The following is a 21,907-nucleotide window of genomic DNA, read 5'->3' on the forward strand; positions in this document are numbered from 1 at the left end:
GATCCCTATCAGGACCCTGAGGTGCCATATGAATGTTTTCATTTTTCTTCGAGAAAGCAAAGGAAGATGGAGACTAATGCATATTAAGCAGGCATTTGTTTAATCAGTCCTTCACGGAGTGTGTGGCAGGACGTCAAGTATGGAAGGTAGGCTGAGGCTTAGTAGGACCTCGGTAGGACTGTGGAGGTCACGGAAGGGGGTCTGGGTTTTATTCCAAGTACCATGAGGAGTCCAAGCCCGCGGGTAGTGTGACCTGTCTTACCTTGGGATGCTCTGTGAGGAACAGGCCATGGAGCACAGGTGTGGGTGCAGTAGAGGGAGGGGCCATTGCAAAGTCCAGAGAGCCTAGAGTGGCCTTGGTGGAGATGGAACGAAGCAAATGGACTTAGGACATCACTGGAGTTGGGACTGGCAGGGCTACTAGTGGACTGATACCGGCAATGTGAGTGAGAAAGGGGGGAATCAAGAGACCCTCAGGTTTGGGGTGTGGATGGTGGTGAGACTGAATGAGAGGAGAAGGGTTGTGGGAGGACCAGGCTCAGAAGGGAACTGGCATCTCTTTCGGCCATGGCAAGTGTGTGATGCTGCAGGCTCCCACCTGGGGAGGCCTGGCGGGCAGCTGGATTTACAAGTCAGAGCTCAGGGGAGAGGCCAGGGCTACAGGTAGGAATTTGGCACTTTCATTTTTTTTTTTCATTTAATACTCACATCAGCCCTATGTTTCAGATATTGTTGCTCCCATTTCATAGACAGGGAAGCTGAGACTTAGGAAAGAGGAGGTAACGTGGCTCCAAAGTAGTAGAGCTGAAATTTAAACTGGGTCTGTGTGATTCAGTCGCTGTTTCCAAGGTGTCTCCCACATTCTTAACTGATTACCATTAGGGAAAAATCTACGTCTTATCCTGCCTCATACAGGCATTCATTAAGTATTGGTCATCCCTGGTTACACCACTATACTTTAGCCTTCCTTCCCTCAAGAAAAAAAAAGCATTAGTCAACCCAAATGTCTAGTTCTTTAAAAAAAATCATTTTAACCCAACAGATCTTGTTTTTTTTCCCAACTAAATAATAGATTATCTGAGGGAAGAAAAAAAATCATGCCTTCATATGTGCAGATCCCAGGCAGCATATGGTAGAGCACCTCACACCCAGGCAGGGAGGCCAGTGAGGTCACCCACTGAGTGCCAGCCACCGTCATAGCGGCTGCCAGGAGTGCAGTGCAGGAAAGAATACTGAGCTAGGAGAATGTGCTGAGATCCATGAGTGATGTCTGTTTCAGGCACTGGAGGGGTGAGAGGCAGCCTTTGAATCCTATATTTGCCATTCCTGAGACAGATCCTTCAGTCAAAGGAGAAATCAGGGCTCCAATAAGAACCTGATCAATAAGACCCTCCCCATTCACAACTCACCAGCCAATGGAGACTCCACAGCAAGGGCTTGAGGTCTTCCTTTCATAATTACTCAGAACCCAATGAAACCAGGGGAGTGCAGAGGCTCAATTAGCGGGAGTTATGGGTGAGTCAGCCTCCCCTGCACCTGCTGTGAGGATGGGCCTTCAGGGCAGACCCGTCTTGAGCGATTGTAGGTGCTGGCTACAAACCACTCTCCAGGAGTTGCTGAGGCAGCTGCAGGAACAGAGAGCAGCTCCCCAGAAGGGGAGACCCGAGAGGGAGGCAGAGGGCTATGAGTGAGCTGGTCCATGGCTGGCTGGAAGTGGAAGGCATGAGGGAGACTGGTAGGGCATGCTCAGATCACCCTGGGTTTTGTTCCTAAGCTGTTCTGGAGGAGAGCTGATATGATGAGAGGCTGAAGGAAAACTGCTCACTGTGCTCACTGCTTGTCTCCTGGAATCTGGAACTGACCCCTCAGGGGAGGGTGACTGGAGGGCCTCCTCCAGCCTGCTGAGAACACAGACAGGTACTCCTTGGTGCCACCTGGGTGATGGGTTAATGGGCACACTCTCAACAAGGGTAGGAGCTGTTTTGGACACCTGAACATCAGATGGGGCTGTCATCAGTTTGGAGAAAGCAGGTGATATGGTTTGGCTGTGTCCTCACCCAAATCTCATCTTGAATTGTAGCTCCCATAATTCCCTTGTGTTGTGGGAGGGACCCGGTGAGAGATAATTGCATCATGGGGGCAGTTTCCCCCATACTGTTCTCGTGGTAGTGAATAAATCTCACGAGATCTGATGGTTTTATAAGGGGAAACCCCTTTCACTTGGTTCTCATTCTCTGCTTGCCTGCCACCATGTAAAACATTCCTTTCCCTTTCTGCCGTGATTGTCAGGCCTCCCTAGCCATGTGGAACTGTGAGTCCATTAAACCTGTTTTTCTTTATAAATACCCAGTCTCAGGTATGTCTTTATCAGCAGCATGAAAATGGACTAATACAGCAGGGGTGCAGGACTGGCCCCTGGGATTCCAGAGATGGTTGCCATGCCTCCCAGTCAGAGGATTCTGGGTAATGGGGATGCAGGCATGGAGCTGGAGGTATCAACAAAGGCAGAAAAGCCCTAGTTAGAGGGCACAGAGGCCAGAAACTCCTTAGACACTTAATCTCATTATGGGCTAACAATTAGGAGGAGAGGGGGTTTTTTGGGAAGAGGGCCCTGGCTGGAGGGAGAAGAGGATGATCAGAGAGAGGTCTATAGGAGATAGGTGTCCATTCATCAGGAAGTCACCCAGGGAAGGAAACTTTAGACAGACAGAATCTGGGAGAAGTTTCCTAGGCTCTTTCTGTTTGCAATGTTGGGCTGGTGATTTTCCTTTGCCTTGTGTTAACTTTGCTGATGGGGCTGTTAAAAAAAACCCCAGCAAGAAACCACCTTGTTTATCCTGAGAACACTCAGTAGGACACAAGCAAGGAGCAAAGCTGTGGGAAGTGGGAATTGGAGTCCAGGGTACAATCTGAATGCAAGGGAGAGGACCTGTAGTGGGGTTCCAGAGTGGAGAGTAGAGCCATGGGCAGCTTCTAGAAAGGTGAGAAGGTTGGTGTGTCCTCTGCAAATACCTAGGAGGGCTGTCTTCTCTTTCCATTTATGGTCACCTTGATACAAGCTGGTTTGCGCCCACCTCAGTGGGTCAGTGATGGAGACTGAAGAGGGAGCAGAGACACTCTGCATCTGAAAGATGACTTGGGGATGTCAAAGAGCCATCTTGCAGCCACATCTAGATGTCTACTGCTCTCAAAAGAATGGGAGCAGCAAACATCACAGCAAATGGCATTTTTTCAAGAGAAAGTCATCTCCATTACTGCTAACTGGGGCCCATTGTGCACCCAAAGAAGAAGCAAGGTGGATAAATATTTTGGAGGAATGAGTGTGTGGGAGATAAGTGGGCAGGTCACACAAACATCGGGTAAAATGGACCTTGTGTTCCTCATGGTTCTCCCCCAACTCAGTAACAAGACCCAAGTCTGAGTTTCATGGAACTCCCCAGCTCATCCATGTCCACTGAGTTCCTTCTCATCAATGTCACCTGGGGAGGGAAAGGTGAGCCAGAGCAGGAAGCAGATTTCCTCTGTTGAGGGAGACGTGGTGGGTCTCCTGCTTTACGAGTCTCAATGGGCTGTCCCATCTAAGGGACACAGAGCAGAAGGGTTAAGGGAGATAAGCAGACATGTCAGGTGGCCTTTGCATAAAAGATATGGGCTGGGTGCGTGGCTAACGCCTGCAATCCCAGCACTTTGGGAGCCGAGGTGGGTGGATCACGAGGTCAGGAGATTGAGACCATCCTGGCTAACACGGTGAAACCCCGTTTCTACTAAAAAAAAAAAAAATTAGCCTGGGAGGTGGAGCTTGCAGTGAGCTGAGGTTGTGCCACTGCACTCCAGCCTGGGCTACAGAGTGAGACTCTGTCTCAAAAAAAAAAAAAAAAAAAGAAAAGATATGAGAGGAGCAGTCAAGAATGGGGGATTTCAACCCATTTGTTAATTTTTATCAACTAATCTCTTCGAATCTTTGCAACTTTCCCTTTTCGGTTATTCTTTTATTTTTAGTGAGATATACTTCACATACCCATAAAATTCCTCCACTGTGCATGTACGATTCAGCGAGTTTTAGTAAAGGTATAGAATTATACAACCCATGACTCCAATCCTGTTTTAGAACTGTTATTATTGTTTCTCTTCTCCAAAGGATTAGCTCAAATTCTTCTTGGAAGGGCTTGCAAGGTTTGCAGGAGGGTGCACAGTCGATCTGGGGAGAGAAGTAAACACAAGCAATGAAGATAGTGGAGTGGCCTGGACGGGAAGCTTCTTTTACAAAGGAAGGATGACAAGAGCCCACAGTTCTTATTGTGTAGGTAAAATGAGCCAGGGGCCATGCCAACCGCATCACATGGATTATCACCTTGGATTTTAACAGTAAGCCAAAGTAACAGGTAAACATGTTATTCCCATTTTACAGATAGAAAAATGGAAGTTTACAGAGGTGCAGTGGCTTCTACAAGGTCTCACTGAACCCATACCTTTCCAACTGCAGAATTTGCATGCTCAAACCATTACACTAGGATACGTTTGACAACTTTGCTCCAGAGTCTAGACTGTACTGTAAGATGACTTACAATGCAGCAGCTCCTGACTGCATGCTCAAGACCTTGATTTCTGCAACTCTGAATCCATTTGAGTTTATAAAATGAAAAATGAGCCCCTACTCCCTATTGATCCTAATCCTCATTCATCCCTAGTTTTGCTCATTTTGGCTTAGGCTCCACCTGGAAAACAAAACATTAACCACTGGGCTTTGTTTGCTCTGATGATCCTGCTCTGACCCTCACATAGCACGAGGCACCAAATGTCTGGCACCCTCCCTTGTGCAGAGGAATAAAGAAACCTGAAAACACACTATCATTTCAAAAACAGCCTGCCTGCCACGAAAGTAACAGTGTTCGATGATGCCATTGTATTTCTTCCTCCCTTTCAAAATCAATCTTTAGATTTTAGGCCTGAAAAGTAGGTGCCACTATCTTCTAATGATCTGCCAGGGGTTAGAAACGGAATGCTACACACCACTTAACATGTGAAATATGATTTATCTGTCGGGGCATATATGAAAAAAATGAAAAGAAATATCTAACAATAACCCTTCTGTTGAGTTTTGAAATGTAAATGTTTGCTAATGCTTTGCCGAAGACAGCTTCACTTGGGCTGAGAGCTATGTGTAAAGAAACATTAAAATGCATCATTTGCTCAGGGCTAAAAGTCATCAGCTTGTGATATTAATGCCCTTTAAAAAATAATTTGACGGCATGAAATCAGAGCACACCTTGTGCAAAGGATTGGCTCTTGTCAATTTTCTCGTGGATCTACTGAGCTATAATTGCATTTAGATCTTGCCAAAAATGAAAGTGTTCTTTTTAAAAATTCTCTCCATCTCTCATTTGCTGGAAGAAAGGTAAGGGGGTTAACTTTGATTTCATCTAGTGTGAAAGACCCCTGACCTATAGGCTGGAACATGCTGGTCAGCTAGAGGTCATGGGTTGTTATTGTTGTCTTTTCCTCCATCCTCAGCTCACAGGTTCCCAGCAGGGCTCATCTGGGTGAGTGCTGAGCTTAGGGGACCTGGGAGAGCCCAGTAACTAGATTAAGGCCACTTTGGCTGCAAGTGACAAAACTCTTCTCAAATTGGCTTAAGCAACAAATAGGAAATGTTTAAGGACACAACGGGTATCTTACAGAGTCTGGGGATGGGAAGGAGGTTGAGCCTTAGCCCACCTGGAAGCAGGGGCTGCCACGGATGTGTGCCTCCTGGATGTGTCTGGGGTGGGCTGTGGCTGCTAGTGGCTCCTGGGATGGGGCTGAGCCTAGTGGGGAGAGGGGGAAGATGAGGAGGAGGCGGATTCCATCCAGCTCTGGTCTTCCCTTCCTGCCTCATCTGGGGCAAGACCTCACTTTCTCCTGCAGTGGGTGGTGTAAGGGTTCCATTTGAAATAATGGTTCTGTGGTGAAGAAAGAAATTGGAAATAACTAGATAATTTCTTGGCCTCTTCACAAATTCTATAGCTTTGAGGATTACAACCACTTGATAGTCACAAGTGACAGGAGCGGTGCTTGAAGAATAAGCCATTTCTTCACTCTGTGATCATTTACCCAACAAAGGGGGAGCAGCTGAGGGTCGCAAGGGTAACAGATGAGCAAGGTACAGCAATGGCTGTGAAGGTGCCGCCTGTCTGGTTGCTATTCTGGAGGCTGGGTGTTCCAGGATGTGGTTTTTCACTCAAGGTCTCTGTACTTTCCTTTTATCTTTCTATTAAATTTTTTTTGATAGAATCTTTATATATGCGCGCGCGCGCGCGCGCGCGCGCACACACACACACACACACACACACACACACACACATATACATTGATGCATTTATTTCAACGATTTGTTCGACACATACTTATTGAGTGCCTACCAGGGGTTCCAGGCTCTGCGGATAGAGCAGTGAACAAAACAGAATTGGTGCGCTGTCCTCCTGGAACTAACTGGTTGGGATGGGGTGTGATTGCTTCTGCTTGATGCTGGTATTCCCACTTTCTCATCAGCAGTAAAGTGCCATGGCCATTTGACTCCTCAACAAGCTTAGCCCTGATCTTTAGCAGGCTTGTCAGTCCTTTAAATTAGTTTGGAAGGTTTCAAGTAGTGATTCTTAAAGTGTGTTCTGGAAACTCACATGGGTTATTTTTATCATAAAGCTAAAACACTTGTCTTTTTAAAATCTCTGTCATGAGTGAACAGTGGAGTTATCCAAAGTCTACACAATGTGTGAAATCAAAACAGATTGAATGGAGAAGCAGACATATGACTCCAATTGACTTCTATTAAGCCAGCCAATATAGAGATTTGCAAATAAGCAAAACAATGCCGCTCAATTCACTAGTTTTTTAAATTTTTGAAAATATAGTTATTTTTTAAAAAAACACCTAATTTATATTAACATGTTACACGTTTATGTTAAGGTACAATACATTTATTGTTTTTAATGAATTAGTGTCTTTTTTAAATGCTTTGGTTTTAATTTCAAATATGGTAAATATCAATAGATATAATCCACACAAAATTCTTTGAGGTTCTTAATTTTTAAGAGTGTAAAGGGGGCTGGGCACAGTAGCTCATGGCTGTGATCCCAGCACTTTGGGAGGCCAAGGCAGGTGGATCACCTGAGGTCAGGAGTTTGAAACTAGCCTGGCCAACATGGTGAAACACCGTCTCTACTAAAAAACCAAAAATTAGCCAGTCGTGATGGTGGGTGCCTGTAATCCCAGCTACTCAGGAGGCTGAGGCAGGAGGATCACTTGAAACCAGGAGATGGAGGTTGCAGTGAGATTGCGCCACTGCACTCCAGCTTGGGCAACACAGCCAGATTATGTCTCAAAAAAACAAGAGTGTAAAGGGGTCTTGAGACCAAAAACTTTGACAACTGCTAATTTAGAGGCAAAGGGTATTGCATGTGATGGGAGTCAGCATTCTCAGTAGCAATGAAATTGATTTAAAGCATATTAGAGAAAGAATTGTAAGGAGGCTCTAGAACCAGTCTCAGAAAGCTACCAGGATCTAGGAAAACTAGGAGGTCAGTTGCGGCCAATGTCACAGAACCAGGCTGGTGAGGACATCACTGTGTACTGCTGAGCGCAGGACACCATAGTTTCTCCTCGCTAACCCTGGAGGCACCGCCACCCTGGAAACTAGAGGCTGCTCCTGCCGCCAAACCCTCTGCCATTCCTGATTCTTTTTGTTCCCGGCTCATGTGTGAGGTCTGGGATGGATACATCTCACTGTGGGCCTAGGTCGTGGTCCAAGGCCTGGCAGCCACAGAGCCGAGGGAAGTGAGTGTGACTGTGTGGGCTCCCATAGAGGGAGGTGGGCCCAATCTCTCACCCAGAGGCAGGTGTAGAAAGTGATGGGCAGCCGGACAAAGTTCCCTTCAACCTGGTGTGTTTCAGAGAATGTCCTGGGGCTCTGTTTGCCCTCTCTAACCACATCCCTTGAGAAATCAGGGGAGCTAGAGATGGAGGGCAGTCAGTGTTACTGCTTCTGGCCCAGTCTCCTGTGTACTTTTGTTTCTAAGCCTCGGAAGCTTAGGGATCTTTTGTGGCTGGATGATGGCAAGGTGCATGGAATATAGAAAGAGGTCAGGAGAGTCTCTTATACTCCTGGGTCTGCCTCCTTCCTCAGTGAGGGGGAGGATGGAACTTAAGAGTATAGTGCAGCAATTAAGAGCTCAGTTTCTGGAATTAGACAGTTTAGCGGTCCCAATCTTGGAGGTGCCTTCTGCCTCCCTGGAGACAGCTGTTTCTGGACAGGGGCCAGCGGGCCATGTCAGGGAGACATGAGAGAGGGAGGAGGGAGACAGGCGGCAGCAGGAGCAGAGCTGGCTGGACAGGGCTTTGTCCACTTGATAAAGCTGGCATGTTCCTTCCAGCTGTCCCTGTGATGCTCGCTTATGTCTGGTTTTCTCATGACTCAGAGCCACAGGGCAGGCCTCTCCAGCAGTAGGGAGAATTTGGATTTGGATATGGTTTGAGAAGAAATGAGGTAGAAGACTGTCTTCCTTTGCTGCCACCCACCACAACTCCCCAGGCCAGTGCTGGATCCCTTCTGGTGATCAGTGAGCCTGGGGACAGCCTGCCAGTTAGAGCTGGTGACCACTTTGGCTGGAGGTCTGCAGGAGTGTACAGGACCCAAGAGCCAGAGAATCATTCCTTTCTCCTAGGAAGAGGCAATGAGAAGCCAGAGAGAAAAATCATGGACAACAGCATGGGCAATGGAATCCTGGGACCGAACGGCTCCTGACAAGAGTAAGTGAGGCTTTGAGCTCCTGGAGGGCAGGGACAATACTCATCTCTGACTCATTTCCCTGGCATCTGATGGACTGCCTCTCAGGATGGGTAACCACAGCTTGCAGGGAGCCCAGTCAGGTTCTGGCTCCCCCTTCCCTTCCCAGTACCCTCTTCCTCACCCAGTGTGCTCCTGCTAACACCTGGACCTCCGATCCGCAAGAAATTGCCTCCTAAACAAGTTCCTATGAAGGTGTCAGGCTGAATGTGCTCCTGTATTAAGGCTACTTGAATTTTAAAGGAAACAATGAAGAGGGCATTGCTTTATCCAAATTGGCAATTCTCTAATGCATGTTTTTACTTGTTTCCCCAAGAGTGTAACAGGTGTTTTCTAAAATTCTTTTATTAAATTCTTTGTCAAGTGAATTTGGGAAATCTTGGATGTTATAGCTCCTCCTCAAAGATTTAAAATGCACAATGTTGGCCAAGCATGGTGGCTCATGCCTGTAATCCCAGCACTTTGGGAGGCTGAAGCAGGCAGATCACTTGAAGTCAGGAGTTCGAGACAATCCTGGCCAACATGGAGAAACCCTGTCTCTACTAAAAATACAAAAACTAGCTGGATGTGGTAGATGCCTGTAGTCCCACCTACTTGGGAGGCTGAAGCATGAGAATCGCTTGAACCTGGGAGGTGGAGGTTGCAGTGAGCCAATCTCATGCCACTGCACTCCAGCCTGGGCAATAGAGTGAGACTCTGTCTCAAAATAAATATAAATGAATAATTAAATAAATAAAATGCGTAATGTCATATTAAAGGCTCTAGGAGGTCCTGTGAGTTTTAACCTGTTGGATTTTTAAGAAATAAGTCTTATTGAGGTATGGTTTACATACAATAAAACTTGCTCATTTTAATGGTGCAGTCTAATCAGTTTTGATGTACACACTCAGGTAACCAACATGACAGTTGAGGTCTAGGACATTTCTATCAGCTCAAAAACTCCCTCATGACCCTTCATAGTCAATTCTCTTCCTCAACGTGCAACCCCTGGCAGCCACTGATCTGTGTCTTCTATAACTAGAGTTGAGCCTTTTCTAGAATTTCACAACAATTGGAGTCATCCAGTAAGTTGTCTTTTGTGTCTCTGGTTTCTTTCCTTAGCATGATGTTTTCTGAGGTTGAGCTGTGTTGTGTTTATCAATAGTTTCTTCCTTTTTATTGCCAAGTAGTATTTCACTGCACGGATGTGTCACTGTGAATCCACTCCCCAAGTCTGAGTGGTTTCCAGTTTTAGGTGATCAAGAATAAAACCACTATGAGTATTTGTGTACAAGTGCTTGTGTGGCTGTGTATTTTCATTTCCCTTGGGTAAACAACTATGAGTGGAATTGTTTAATTTTATTTGATCAAGGGACACTTAAACTGAACATCTGTTAATGAATATTCTGAAAAACACAATCTGGAAAACATGGCTAAAATATTGGGCCTGTCAATACCATCCAGGCCGCCACCCTCACTGTCCTTGGGAAAATGCCAAGCTTATGGTGCCAGGCCCCTTGCTCTGCAGACATTTGAAAGGGGGAATGGGGTGGCCATGGCCTTATCAGACAGAGCTCAGCCGGAGAGGGGACTCAGGAGCTGGAGCCAGTGAGTGGAGTTGGCCTCAGAACTGTGGTATCTTTTCTTATCTAATAGTAAAATCCCAGATGCTAGTTGGCCCTGGTGCCCCATGGTGGAGAAGCAGTGAGTCTGGTCTGGAGCCCAGGTCCCAGATCTCCTTCTCATTGGTTTTAAGTAAAGAGGGAAAAGAGGCTCTGTAGCTGCTTTTCACAAATGTCGTCATTCTCATCAGCAGATGGTAGAGGAGAGAGGCTAATTCAGAACTCCTGTAGCATATAAAACAAAAACCAGCCAAAGGAACCCACAAGGTAAATGATATCATTATAAGGGAAGTAAAGGAAACAGCATCTGTCCCTGCTGTGGCAGGAACCAGAGCTAGGATGCTGGAGAGGTGCCTGCTCCCTGGGCCTTGCAGGGAAGTGGTTCTCACTCAGTGGCAAGGGGAGCTGACGGCTCAGCAAATGCTCTATTAATCCCACCTGAAGAGAAGAACAGTTCGGGAGGGCTGGGCTAGGTCCCGATTTTAAATGTTTAATGCACATCTTGATCTTCCTTTTATTTGTTGTTGGACTGTCTGGACAGACTCTTGTGATTTTCCAGGTTTGTTGATCAATTAAAGTTGGAGAAGACACATGGTTTATCCCACCGCATGCCTTCTGATAGGTCATAGTATGTTGAAACATCCAGGGATAAGTTCATCTGATTGTGGGCTTAGCTGATATAGGGGCTGAGGGTGTGGAAGGTACCTGCCTTTTGCAGCAGCCTGAACAAAGAATTTAAAAACTCCGTTCCTTGCCTTTAGCTCCACTGGGCTCTCAGACCCCACTGGAGAAGAACAGGGAAGAGACAGCTCTTTTCTGCAGCCACCTTCCTAGGCATTCTGTGGTTTTGCTGAAAGAGCAAAGGCTTCTGGAAACAGACCCATGTTCCCGATCCTGGCTCTGTCACTGACGAGCTAAGGCCAGGGCCCTCTCTTATGTCTTAGTCTCCTTGTCTGTAAAATGAGGGCATGTACCCACTTCAGAGGTGTTAGGAGGAGTATATACACATGATGCCTTATGTGGGTACAGTAGTGCCTAGCACAGTATTAGCTGTAGAATAAATGGGAATTCATAACCCCTCATTTCTAGATCAACCCCTGTAAGTCCACCCAAGAACACTGTGTGCCTGAACGAAAGGCAGGTAGGAAGAAGGCAGGGAGGAGAGTGCTTGGGTAAAAAGACACTGTGGTGAAGCATTCCTCTACTGGAGCCCCTTTCTCAGAATCCTAGACTCCTAAAACACCAGGATTGGAAGTTTCTTTGGAGGTCTTTTATTCAACTGTTCACTTCATGCAGGAGATGACTTTCCAAAGTCCTTGCCAAATGTCATCCAATTTTCCCTGGAACATCTTCAAAATAGTGTAGTGGGTGCAGAAATAGTCTCCACCACTTCCTAACCCTAACCCTGGGCTAGTTCCTTAGCCTCTCCCTGTCTCAGTTCCCTTAACTGTAAAGTGAGAGCAATAATAATAGGATTGCTCTAAGGACGAGTTAATACCTGTGCCTAAAGTGGTCTTTGGAAAGCGCAACCTCTCAAAAAATACCAACTTTAAACACGATTATTATTGCTATAACCTTTTCAGGGTTGAGGACAAAGCTATGGCTGGTTACACCCCAAAACCTCCCTGGCACCTCAGGGCAGCTTTGGTCCAGAAAAGGAAGCTCTCTCTGTCTTCATGAAATTTCCACTTAGGCATCCATTGATTATCCTTCTGTTCAGATTTTAATTTTTTTTTGGAGAGCCATCATCTCTTCCCTGGGTCTCTTCCTCTTTCATACTTAGTGCTTTATACCCAAGAGAATATTATTACATCGAACATGAAATTGTGGTTTTGGAGGTCAAAAACTGTCAGGTGTTTCATACGATTCAACCTGCACAGAAGCAGTGTCATCTTTGGGTCCCTGGAGTCACAATCACCACAGTTACTTTGGGTACCTGATTCCGGGTCCCTAAAGAAGATCTGAGAGGAGTGCCTAGAAATCTGCATTTCTAACAAGGTCTCCACTGACACAGTAGAAAGAACACTGGCCTGGGAACAGGAAACCCAAGTTTGAGGACCAGTCCTGTTTCTAGCTGGCCACATAACCTTGGGAAAGTCACTTCAGTCTCTAGGTCTCTGCTCTCTTTTATCACCACAATGGGAATTGCAAGAAAGTGATCTTTAAGATTACCCCCAAGCCTGAACTTATATGGTTTATAAAACACTTACTGGGTGCCTATTAGGAACTGAAGGTCACAAAAGATATAGTTCAAGCCTGCAAGGAGATTACTCTTGTTGGGAAGATTGAAACCAGATGAAGAGGCAGAGCAAAACAATGTGGAAGATAATACAGTACGGTGGCATCAGTGATATCACCGTGGAGAAAACGGTTACCTGCAAATGTGTATTACTTCTATAGAAGCAGTGACGTGAGGCCTCTGTGGGTAGCGTAAGCTTCCTGAGGGAAAGGCCAAATTTGAGCAGCATCTTAGGTTGAGAGAAGGAAGAGTCAGCTTATCTTCTTTTCTCTTTGATAGTCCCAGCACTGGCTCCTAAAATTTCAGCAGTCTTTAAGGTACTACCTATGTTCATTTGCTCATTCATTCATTCATTCATTATCTACCTATTCATGAATATATATTGGGTGCTTACATATGGTGAACAAGATCAAATTAGTCCCTACTCTTAGAGAGCTTAACATTGTAATGAAGGATATGACAAATATTAAACAGATTAAAAAAGTGGTGTAATGCTATGAAGAGAATTAAAGCAGGATGAAATAGTAACTGTGGTTTCTTCGGTTTGGGGGTAATGGTCAGAAAAGATCTCTCAGAAGACTGAGAAGCTATGACCTGAAAGTCAAGAAGAAGCCAAACAGGGCACGATCAGGGAAAGAATGCTTCAGGTAGAGGAAACTGCCAGTGCTGAGGATCTACAGTGGGAATTTACAGGAATGAAAGAAACGCAGGAGAAGAGGGGAGAAAGGCAGGAGAGGGTACAAAATATATCTGGTACAGTAGGCAGGGGTAAGATTGTGAAACGCTTCATAAACCAGAATAAGGATTTTATATTTTATGCTTAATTCTACATGCAATAGGGAACCGTTGAATGGCTCTAAGAAGAGGAACAACATGATTTGACTTAGGTTTTTGAGGGATCTCTCCAGCTACAGATTGAAGAATGATTGTAAAGAGGGTGAGTGGAAACAGGAGGCCTGGTGAGTATGTTATTGCAGAGTGGTCCGATGAGAGACAGTGATGGAGCAGACTAGTGAGGGAGCAGGTGGGGAACAGGGCACAGGTGTTTAATCACTCAGGGTAGAGAGGGTAGGGGAGAGGCACACAAGGAGATAAGGGAAGGGCTCAATATTTAAAGCACAGTTTCTTAAACAGTTTTTCCTGCTCTAGTGGGAAAATCATGCACTCGCAAGAACAGTGTATCAATTCAATGGTGATTCTAAATTGGGGTTCCCCCGGAAGATGTGACAGCATATTGTTGCTGGAGGAATGTAGGGGGCATGCCCTACGCCTGCACCCCAGCAATTGCCACATGGTTTATGTTGTGACTGTGACACAAGTCCTAATTGTGAGAGAGGACCCAGGGTACTGCTCAAAATGATAGGAAACATTGACAAATCCTAGCCCAGTTTGACTTTTTGAAAGCTTGTTCCTTGCTATTTTGACCCCCAAGTACATTTTGATTTCAGGTCTGTAAATAAAATTATTTGTATTAGAATAATAAAAACATTAATTTTTTTGTTAAGATGATTTTATAGGGTAAATTCTAATAAGTAAATTTAATTCTTTGATCATTTTTTATCTGATGCACCTAAAAATTTCCAGCCGAAGCTGGACCTGGTGGCTCATGCCTGCAATCTCAGCACTTTGGGAGGCTGAGATGGGAGAATCTCTTGAGGCCAGGAGTTTGAGACCAGCCTGGGAAACATATTGAGACCCCATGACTACAAAAAGTTTTAAAAATTAGCTGGGTACAGTGGCATTAGCCTGTAGTCCCAGCTACTCAGAAGGCTGAGGTAGAAGGATTGCTTGAGCCCAGAAGTTGGAGGCTACAGTGAGCTATGATTGTGCCACTGCACTCCAGCTTGGGTGACAGAACAAGACCCTGTCTCTTAAAAAAAATTCAATCATTTTGGTTTTCATTTCCATTTTCATTATGAGAAATTCTATTCCATATAACCAGTTTTTTTTGGAAGAGTTTGAAAGGATTAGTTCCTCAAATTTTTGGTAGAATTCAGTCATCACTCAGGTTGTTTTTTTTTCCATAATGATGTTTTTAAGTTCAATTTCCTTAGGCTTGATTTCGCAAATTTAAATTTTTTTCAGACATATGATTCTTTACTAAGTTTTAATGATAATGAATATGTTTCAGGTTCATCCTCTCAACTCTCTATTTGTGTCCAGTCAAAATTCGCAATGCCAACACAATAGTTTCTAGTCCCATGATCCACTGAGAAAAACATGGATTCTTTAAAAGGTAAAATACATATTCAACATGATGCTGCACTCTCTTCCCCTCCCCCCTCAAAGGCTGACACTACTAATTCACCGCTGGCACTTCCTATGGATTGAGAGACAGCTGTAGCTGATATTGAGCTTAGAATCAGATGGTTCAGACATCGAACCATTTCTGCATCAGCTGGTAAACAGCTGTGGCCTGGAGGGCTCCTTTTGGACCTCCCTATGCTGACCCAGCAACTAAAGAGTTAACACCCAAACCAGCAGGGCACCTGGAAGATCCCAGAAGGGTTGGGGTGAGGGTGAGGGTTGGGCAGGGCAGGGTTGGCCAGCACTGCAGCTGGCCATTTGTGCTGATTGGTGGATTGTTAACCTTTTTGAATATCACTCTGGGGAACAGTTTAAGAATCTTTCTCAGTACAAGGCTCCAGGAAGACATTACTGAATTGATCAAAGTTGGTACTTTAGATGAAACCTATTTATCACCCCTGGATTAAGGTCTTATCTCCCTTAGGGATATTTGGTTATAAACAGTGTGCTCTGAAGGTTAAAGAACCTCCAGGGCTCCAGGAACTGGACTTCTACTGCTGTACCTTCAAGTACCCTCCTTGGACAGAACTGGGGGCTGAGGCCAAATCACAGTTCCTGATCTGGATTGGCCTGACCTTTGAACATGAGATAGGGCAATCAATGGGGACGGGCACTAAAATGAACTCTAAGACCCTCCCCTCATTGCCAAGGCTTCTAGCACAACAAGAATGGCTTGTTCAGGCCTGCATTCAGTCTTGACATTCTGCAGTGTAGAAGCCAGGGGCATCAGTGGTTTCTCTGCTACATGTTTTCATTTTTGTAGAAATCACGTTGCCTATAGATAGCAAAACTAGCTTGGTATAAAAACAGCATGACTTGTGCCCTTAAAAATATTAAGTAAAAATAATTTGCCAGCCAGGTGCTGTGGCTCACTCCTGTAATCCCAGCATTTTTGGAGACCGAGGTGGGTGGATCACCTGAAGTCAGGAGTTTGAGACCAGCCTGGCCAACCATGGCGAAATCCTGTCTCTATTTAAAATACAAAAAAATTAGCCAAGTGTGGTGGTGCATGCCTGTGATCCCAGCTACTTGGGAGGCTGAAGGAGGGGTACTGCTTGAACCTGGGAGGTGGAGGTTGCAGTGAGCTGAGATTGCGCCATTGCACTCCAGCCGGGGCAACAAGAGTGAAACTCTATCTAAAAAAAAAAAAAAATTGTCATAGTAATATATATTTTTCCTTTTTAGTAAGTGGCAAAGTACCCCTGATTTTGAAACATGTATGGTCGTGATATCAAGAGTGACAACCTGGGCAAAAGAGAGCCATTGCAAAGAAGAAAGGCCTTTAGGGAAATGGAGCAGAAAGAGGAAGCAGTAAGATATTGTCTTTAGCGCCTACAACCATATATGGATTGGGTGGTCCAGAAGGAAGAATGTGGCAACCTCCCACAGGGGCTGTCGGCACTGCTGTGGTGGGATGGGCAGGAATGATTTCTCCCTCCAGGATCACTCTGTTTCCAATGAAAGACTTTTAGAGTTGTCACAGCTCTTATTTTTTCAGTGAGGTGATTGAAGTCCAGAGGAATTAACTGACTTGTGCAAGACCACACAGCTAGCCCAAGATCCATTCAGAGCCAAGAAAGAGAGTCCTGACGGCACATTCTAGTTACCTTAGACAACATGTCAGTGCAATTCATCAAGTTCTTCATAATCCAGAAGTATCATTAGAAACACTAACCATATAACACTGTAATATGGGGCTGGGTGAGGATATAGATCTATTTGCTTCTACGCTAAGTGGCCTCATTTAGTGCTATTTTGGGGTCTGCTCTTGGTACTTCCTAGGCTGTCTTTATCATCGTCAATCACGTACTGTGCCTGCTTCAAACAAATCTTCCAACATCTGCTTCCCCACACACTGTTGAAAGTACATTAGTAATTTAATTTTATGTAACACTTCTTCCAACTCTCTAGAAATCTTGCCAATGCAGTCTTGCCCGCTCCCCCTGAGGAGCCACTTTCTCTTCTGCATTCTCTGGGCCTTCTGTATCCCTTGTGGACAATGCATTGTTCTAGAAGGAAGCAACCTACTGTTTTGGGAAGAACAGGGCCCAAATCCTGTTACTAACAGTGTGGCTGTGGACAAAGTCCTTTGCCTCTTTGAGCCTGAGTTAACTCTCTGCACTAACATGTGTCTTTCAGGGAGAGTGGGAGGCTTAAATGCCTGCATAGAGCTGTCTTTTAACAAATGCTAGTTTCCTCTCTTGTTTAGAGGCATGCTCCACCTTCTGCCTTACATTGTGGTTGGTTCCAGGCATGTTTGTGCTCTTCAGTAGGATCCAGAATCCGTAGTTGGTGACTATGTTTCCTAATTCGGGATCCCCCTGTGCCAGGCATAGGCTTGCTGCAGGCTCTCCATTACTGCTTGTAGAGTAGATAATATTGTAAGTCATTAAGTTCTGGTCTGAGGCAGGTGTGTAATTGCCATGTACTCTCTTGCAGGCTCAAGAGTACAGGTCCTCAGAGGCCTTTTTTCTTCTGTGTCCTGGGAGGCATAGTGACTGCAGCTCTGACCTCCATACAGGTGGATTTTTTTTTTTTTTTGAGACAGAGTCTCACTTTGTTGCTCAGGCTGGAGTGCAGTGGCGTGATCTCTGCTCACTGCAACCTCCACCTCCCAGGTTCATGCGATTCTCCTGCCTCAGCCTACTGAGTAGCTGGGATTACAGGCGCACACCAGCACGCCTGGCTAATTTGTGTGTTTTTAGTAGAGACAGGGTTTCACCATGTTGGCCAGTCTGGTCTCAAATTCCTGACCTCGTGATCCTCTTGCCTCAGCCTCCCAAAGCGCTGGGATTACAGGCATAAGCCACCACGCCTGGCCCGACATTTCTATAAATGATGATCCCTCTTTGGAAAGTAGCCTCTTTGCAGAAGGCCCTTCTCCCAAGAGGGAATAAGATTCAGGGAACCAACTTCAAAGCCCATGCAAAATGAGCCAGTCTGCTCCATCCCTGTGGGCACAGTCAATGGGGCAAGAGCCCCCAGGGCTGCATCTCCTTCCTTCCCAGGGAAGCCATGATTGTGGGTGACTTTCAGTGTTTCTTAGCATTTGGGCAGTCTCTTGATTCCTTTGCAGAAGGTTTTGTTGTCAGATCAAGAGCACCTGCTCCCTTTATGCCCAATTGGTTGTATAGATTCAGAGGGAGCAGGTGGAGGGAGAAAGAAGTGGTGAGAAAAGCCTTGAGAATGGAGATAAGGGTGCTCCCAGAGAGAGGGAAAAGTGGATAAAAGCCTGGCTGTGCTCCCTGCACCTAAGTTCCTTAAGATTCTTCCCTTCCTGACAACAAATCTTCTTTCTCCTTGAATCAATTTGGGTGGGCCTTGGTACCTGTCAATAAATAGGCTCCAACTAACTTCTGTTTTAAATCCACTGGGGTCACATGGTAAGTTTTTTGAGAGTGGAACCACATTTCTGTTCTTATCTTCCCCTGAACACACAAGTAATGCTGGAGGCATAGTATTTGTTGGTTTAATGAATAACGTGCCTGAGTAGTACCACGCTGGTTGCAAGGAGAGTGTCTGCCCCCAGAAATTTCAAGAATTGCCAGAATATTGGAAGCAGGAAGCCTGGTCCTTTAAATATGTCATAAGCCCCATTTATGGTGTGTTCTGCAGCAGTTTTGCAAACACAGGAAAATCCATTTGAATCCAATATTCTCAGATTGCCCTGTTCATTTGGTAGTTAGAATATATTATCCTCATAGACTATTTGAGCTCCTGGTTTTCAGCCCTCTCTGAACCTCCTCCAGATCACTGCTAGTGAGACATTTGGGTAAAGTTGTAAATGCATTTGCTGTATCTTTTAGCCTAAGTATTTCCAGCAGGCTTTATGGAGCTTGTAAATATGAACTGATTTTTTTTACATATGTGAATCAGCCTTATTTTTGTCTAAAGTGGACTTTATGAACCTGCACGAATTAGAATAAACACTGAACCCAGCAATCAGTTCTATATTTAGTTCTTAATAGCTAGGCCGAGTGTGTGTGTGTGCGTGCACACGCGCATGTGCACGCATACAGAATATTAAGAAAAAAATTAAAGGTGAGTGCTTCTGTGATGTGTGAAGCTGGTTAACCCATATATGTGGCCTGGAGAGAATTCCTGGGCAGGTAGAACTAGGGCCAATGGCTGAGGGATCTCTTTCTCTGCTGAAAGTCACTGTTTCTTTATTTGAATATAGGGGAAAATAATACTACATCTCAGGATAAATGTGCAGATCAAAGGAAGCAGGGAATGTGGAAGGACCCTGCATAGTTACTAGGGTCTAGCTGGTATTCAGTAGACATGTAGCACTTACAGAATCTCAGCCCTGAATGGACTTTAAGGTTCTAGAAGGCTAAGGTACCTGTCTCCTGCTATGTCCTTGACAATTCCTAGGAAACCATGGGCCAAATAAGTAATAGTATAATAAGAGTTTATTACATTGAATGAAAGACAGTGTCTGCTTGAATGTTAATTTGATCAGAGTCCTGCCAGAGAATTCCCAGCCAAACAATGTTGTCTTGGGCCATCATAAGTAACAGAGCAGCAAGGTTGAGAGACAGCAGAAGGGTGGCATAGGATGAGTCTCCAAACCCAATTGCTTGGGTTGGTGTCTCACTCAGGTATTTAAGAGCTGTGTGATCTTGGACATGTCATTTAGCCTCTCTGAGCTGTGGTCTCTTCACCTGTAAAGGGGGTAGAATGGTAATACTAATGCCCCAGGGACAATATGTAAGTCTATAGAATATATATAAAATGCTTGGAACTGTGCCTGGTGCACAGTGTTTGTTGTTGTTGTTATTGTCATTACCATTTACTTATTATTGCTCTTAGTGGTTAAAAGTGTAGACTTTGGTTTGAGTCTTGGCGTTGCCACTTACCACTAACTTTGTGACCTTGGACAGTTTCTCAACTTTTCAAAGCCTCTATTTCCTCATCTGTTATTTGAGGATGTCTCTTACTTCCTGGGGTTACTGTGAGGGTCAAATGAGACAATATGTGCAAAACACTTAGCATGGTATCCATCACAGAGAAAGCACTTCATTGACGTTATCTATTTTATCATCTTGAGAACACTATTCATTCATCAAATATTTCTGAAGCCTGTGCTGAGTGTAGGCTTGGTACTGTAATAAAATTTCTTCCTTCTTTAATGAGGAAATGTGCACATCTTTTCTGTTTGGGAGGAACATGTACTTCCTCTATCCTAGGCAAAGCATTGTAATATTGTACAAAAATCTGGAGGAGAGTAAGGAGGGGTGGGGGATCCCTTACAGGGATTTGGCTCCAGTAGTCACCATGCTCATGAAGAAGCCCCAGCAACAAAGCATTTGCATACCCAGGACCTGGGACTGCAGCTGATGGACAAGTGGCCACAATCACCTCTGGGGTAGCCACCCATCCCAGTCTTTGAATGCCATCTGGCAATATTCTTAACTGTGCCCCCCTTTCACCTGAAAACTGTCCTGGGCTAGATGTTAAATTATATGGTTCCTGATACTTGATTTCCTTAAGACAAACACTCCCCTCTAGCTCAAAGGAATGTGGCTGCAAGTGCCATTTGGCTACATCTGGCGTTTGGGAAGGGTGCCTGGCACCTTGTGGATTGAGAGGGCAAGGGGGCCTCTCTGGTGTTGTCAGGGGGTGTCACACAGGGAAGGCCAGGGAGAAAACATCTCCTTCCTTCTCCTGGAAAAGTTATAGGTGTTTATTTCTTTCTGTCTTTTTCCAGGTCATCACACTTTATAGAAACTTTGTCATCTTTGAAGAGTCTGAAAGTGAGTGGCTATTTACTGAGAGAGAGCAGCACAGAGAGGCCAAATTAAAACAACAACAACCACCCCCTGCCACCCCACCCCCCGCCCCAGAAAACAAGCAACCAACCAGTGCCACAGAAAAAACTCTCACTTTAATTTCAATTCTGTTCTCTGTTGGTTGTGTGTGGTTGTTGATGGAGAAGTGTGTATCTGTCCCTGTGTTCTAACTTGTATAACTTTATGACAGCCTGGTGGGAGAGAGCATAGTACTATTGAGAGGAGGTATTGGTTGAATATTTTAGAGCTGTGTTCACTATAATTCATTAAAAAAACAATTAACTAGAAAGGGAAAGATAGAGATTTCCCAGGATTTCTACAATGCTGATGTGTTACTTTTATTAGCAGGTCAAAAAATATATTTTTAGAAATAATGACTATCACAGTGAAACTTACACAGTGATTATTGCATGCCAGGTTTTTTTTTTAAAATTCTTTCTACATATTAACTTCTTTAATCCTAACAACCAGCTTCTGGTTAAAAGATACTATCATTATCTCCAGTTTCCAGATATGGATACTGTGGCACAGAAATGTTGACTGTTAATAACTTGCCCAACGTCAATGTCTGGCCAATGGTAGAGATTCTGCCCAAGAAGTCAGGTGCTAGAATCTAATTCTTTTTAGCCAAATTCCATATCACTTTCTAGACTAAAAGCCTGGGATAGGGAGATTGAGACACAGAAAGGTTAAGTAACTTGCTGAAGTCACACAGCTAAGAAGCAAGGGAGCAGGGGATCAAACTCAGCTCTTTCTAGGTCCAACGACCGTACCCTTAGGAGTTATTCATGTTTTTTCTCTTTCCTCATTGAGTTTCCTAAAAGATTATCATGAAGGCTCCGTGAGACAAGGTATGTGGGTATGTTTAGCAAACTATAAAGCACCATACAAGCTGTCGTTTGTAAATTAGATTCAAGAACTAGAGGGGAAACAGGAAGAAACTCACCTTGCATTTGAGGTGCAGAAGACAGACCCATACCCTTGCAGTGAGGAGATAAAATAGTAGAGATGCAAAGGAAAATCAGGTGGGATCTTAAAACCAGACAGAGTGGAAGAAGGGAACATTTCTCTTTTAGTGCTAAATGTGCTGAGTGATAAAAGTAACAGACCCAGCACTTTGTTCTCTGTGACCACGGCTCAGAACCCA

At 44.9% G+C, this 21,907-nt stretch overlaps 1 long non-coding RNA gene across 4 annotated transcripts in view; it reads left to right on the forward strand.

Moving 5' to 3' along the window:
* Positions 1 to 21,907, forward strand: part of LOC105378464 (uncharacterized) — a 57,847-nt gene that overhangs the window by 14,273 nt on the left and 21,667 nt on the right. The window contains exons 2-7 of one of the 4 annotated variants that reach the window (XR_946282.2): positions 4,139 to 4,382; positions 8,697 to 8,781; positions 13,498 to 13,617; positions 14,790 to 14,894; positions 16,151 to 16,276; positions 20,679 to 20,724. This is a non-coding gene — a long non-coding RNA (uncharacterized LOC105378464). The remainder of the gene's footprint in view (positions 1 to 4,138; positions 4,383 to 8,696; positions 8,782 to 13,497; positions 13,618 to 14,789; positions 14,895 to 16,150; positions 16,277 to 20,678; positions 20,725 to 21,907) is intronic. The other 3 variants (XR_946283.1, XR_946284.1, XR_007062285.1) reach the window with 3 other exon arrangements.

Source organism: Homo sapiens, chromosome 10 (genome assembly GCF_000001405.40).
Source record: "Homo sapiens chromosome 10, GRCh38.p14 Primary Assembly".
Classification (NCBI taxonomy): domain Eukaryota; kingdom Metazoa; phylum Chordata; class Mammalia; order Primates; family Hominidae; genus Homo; species Homo sapiens.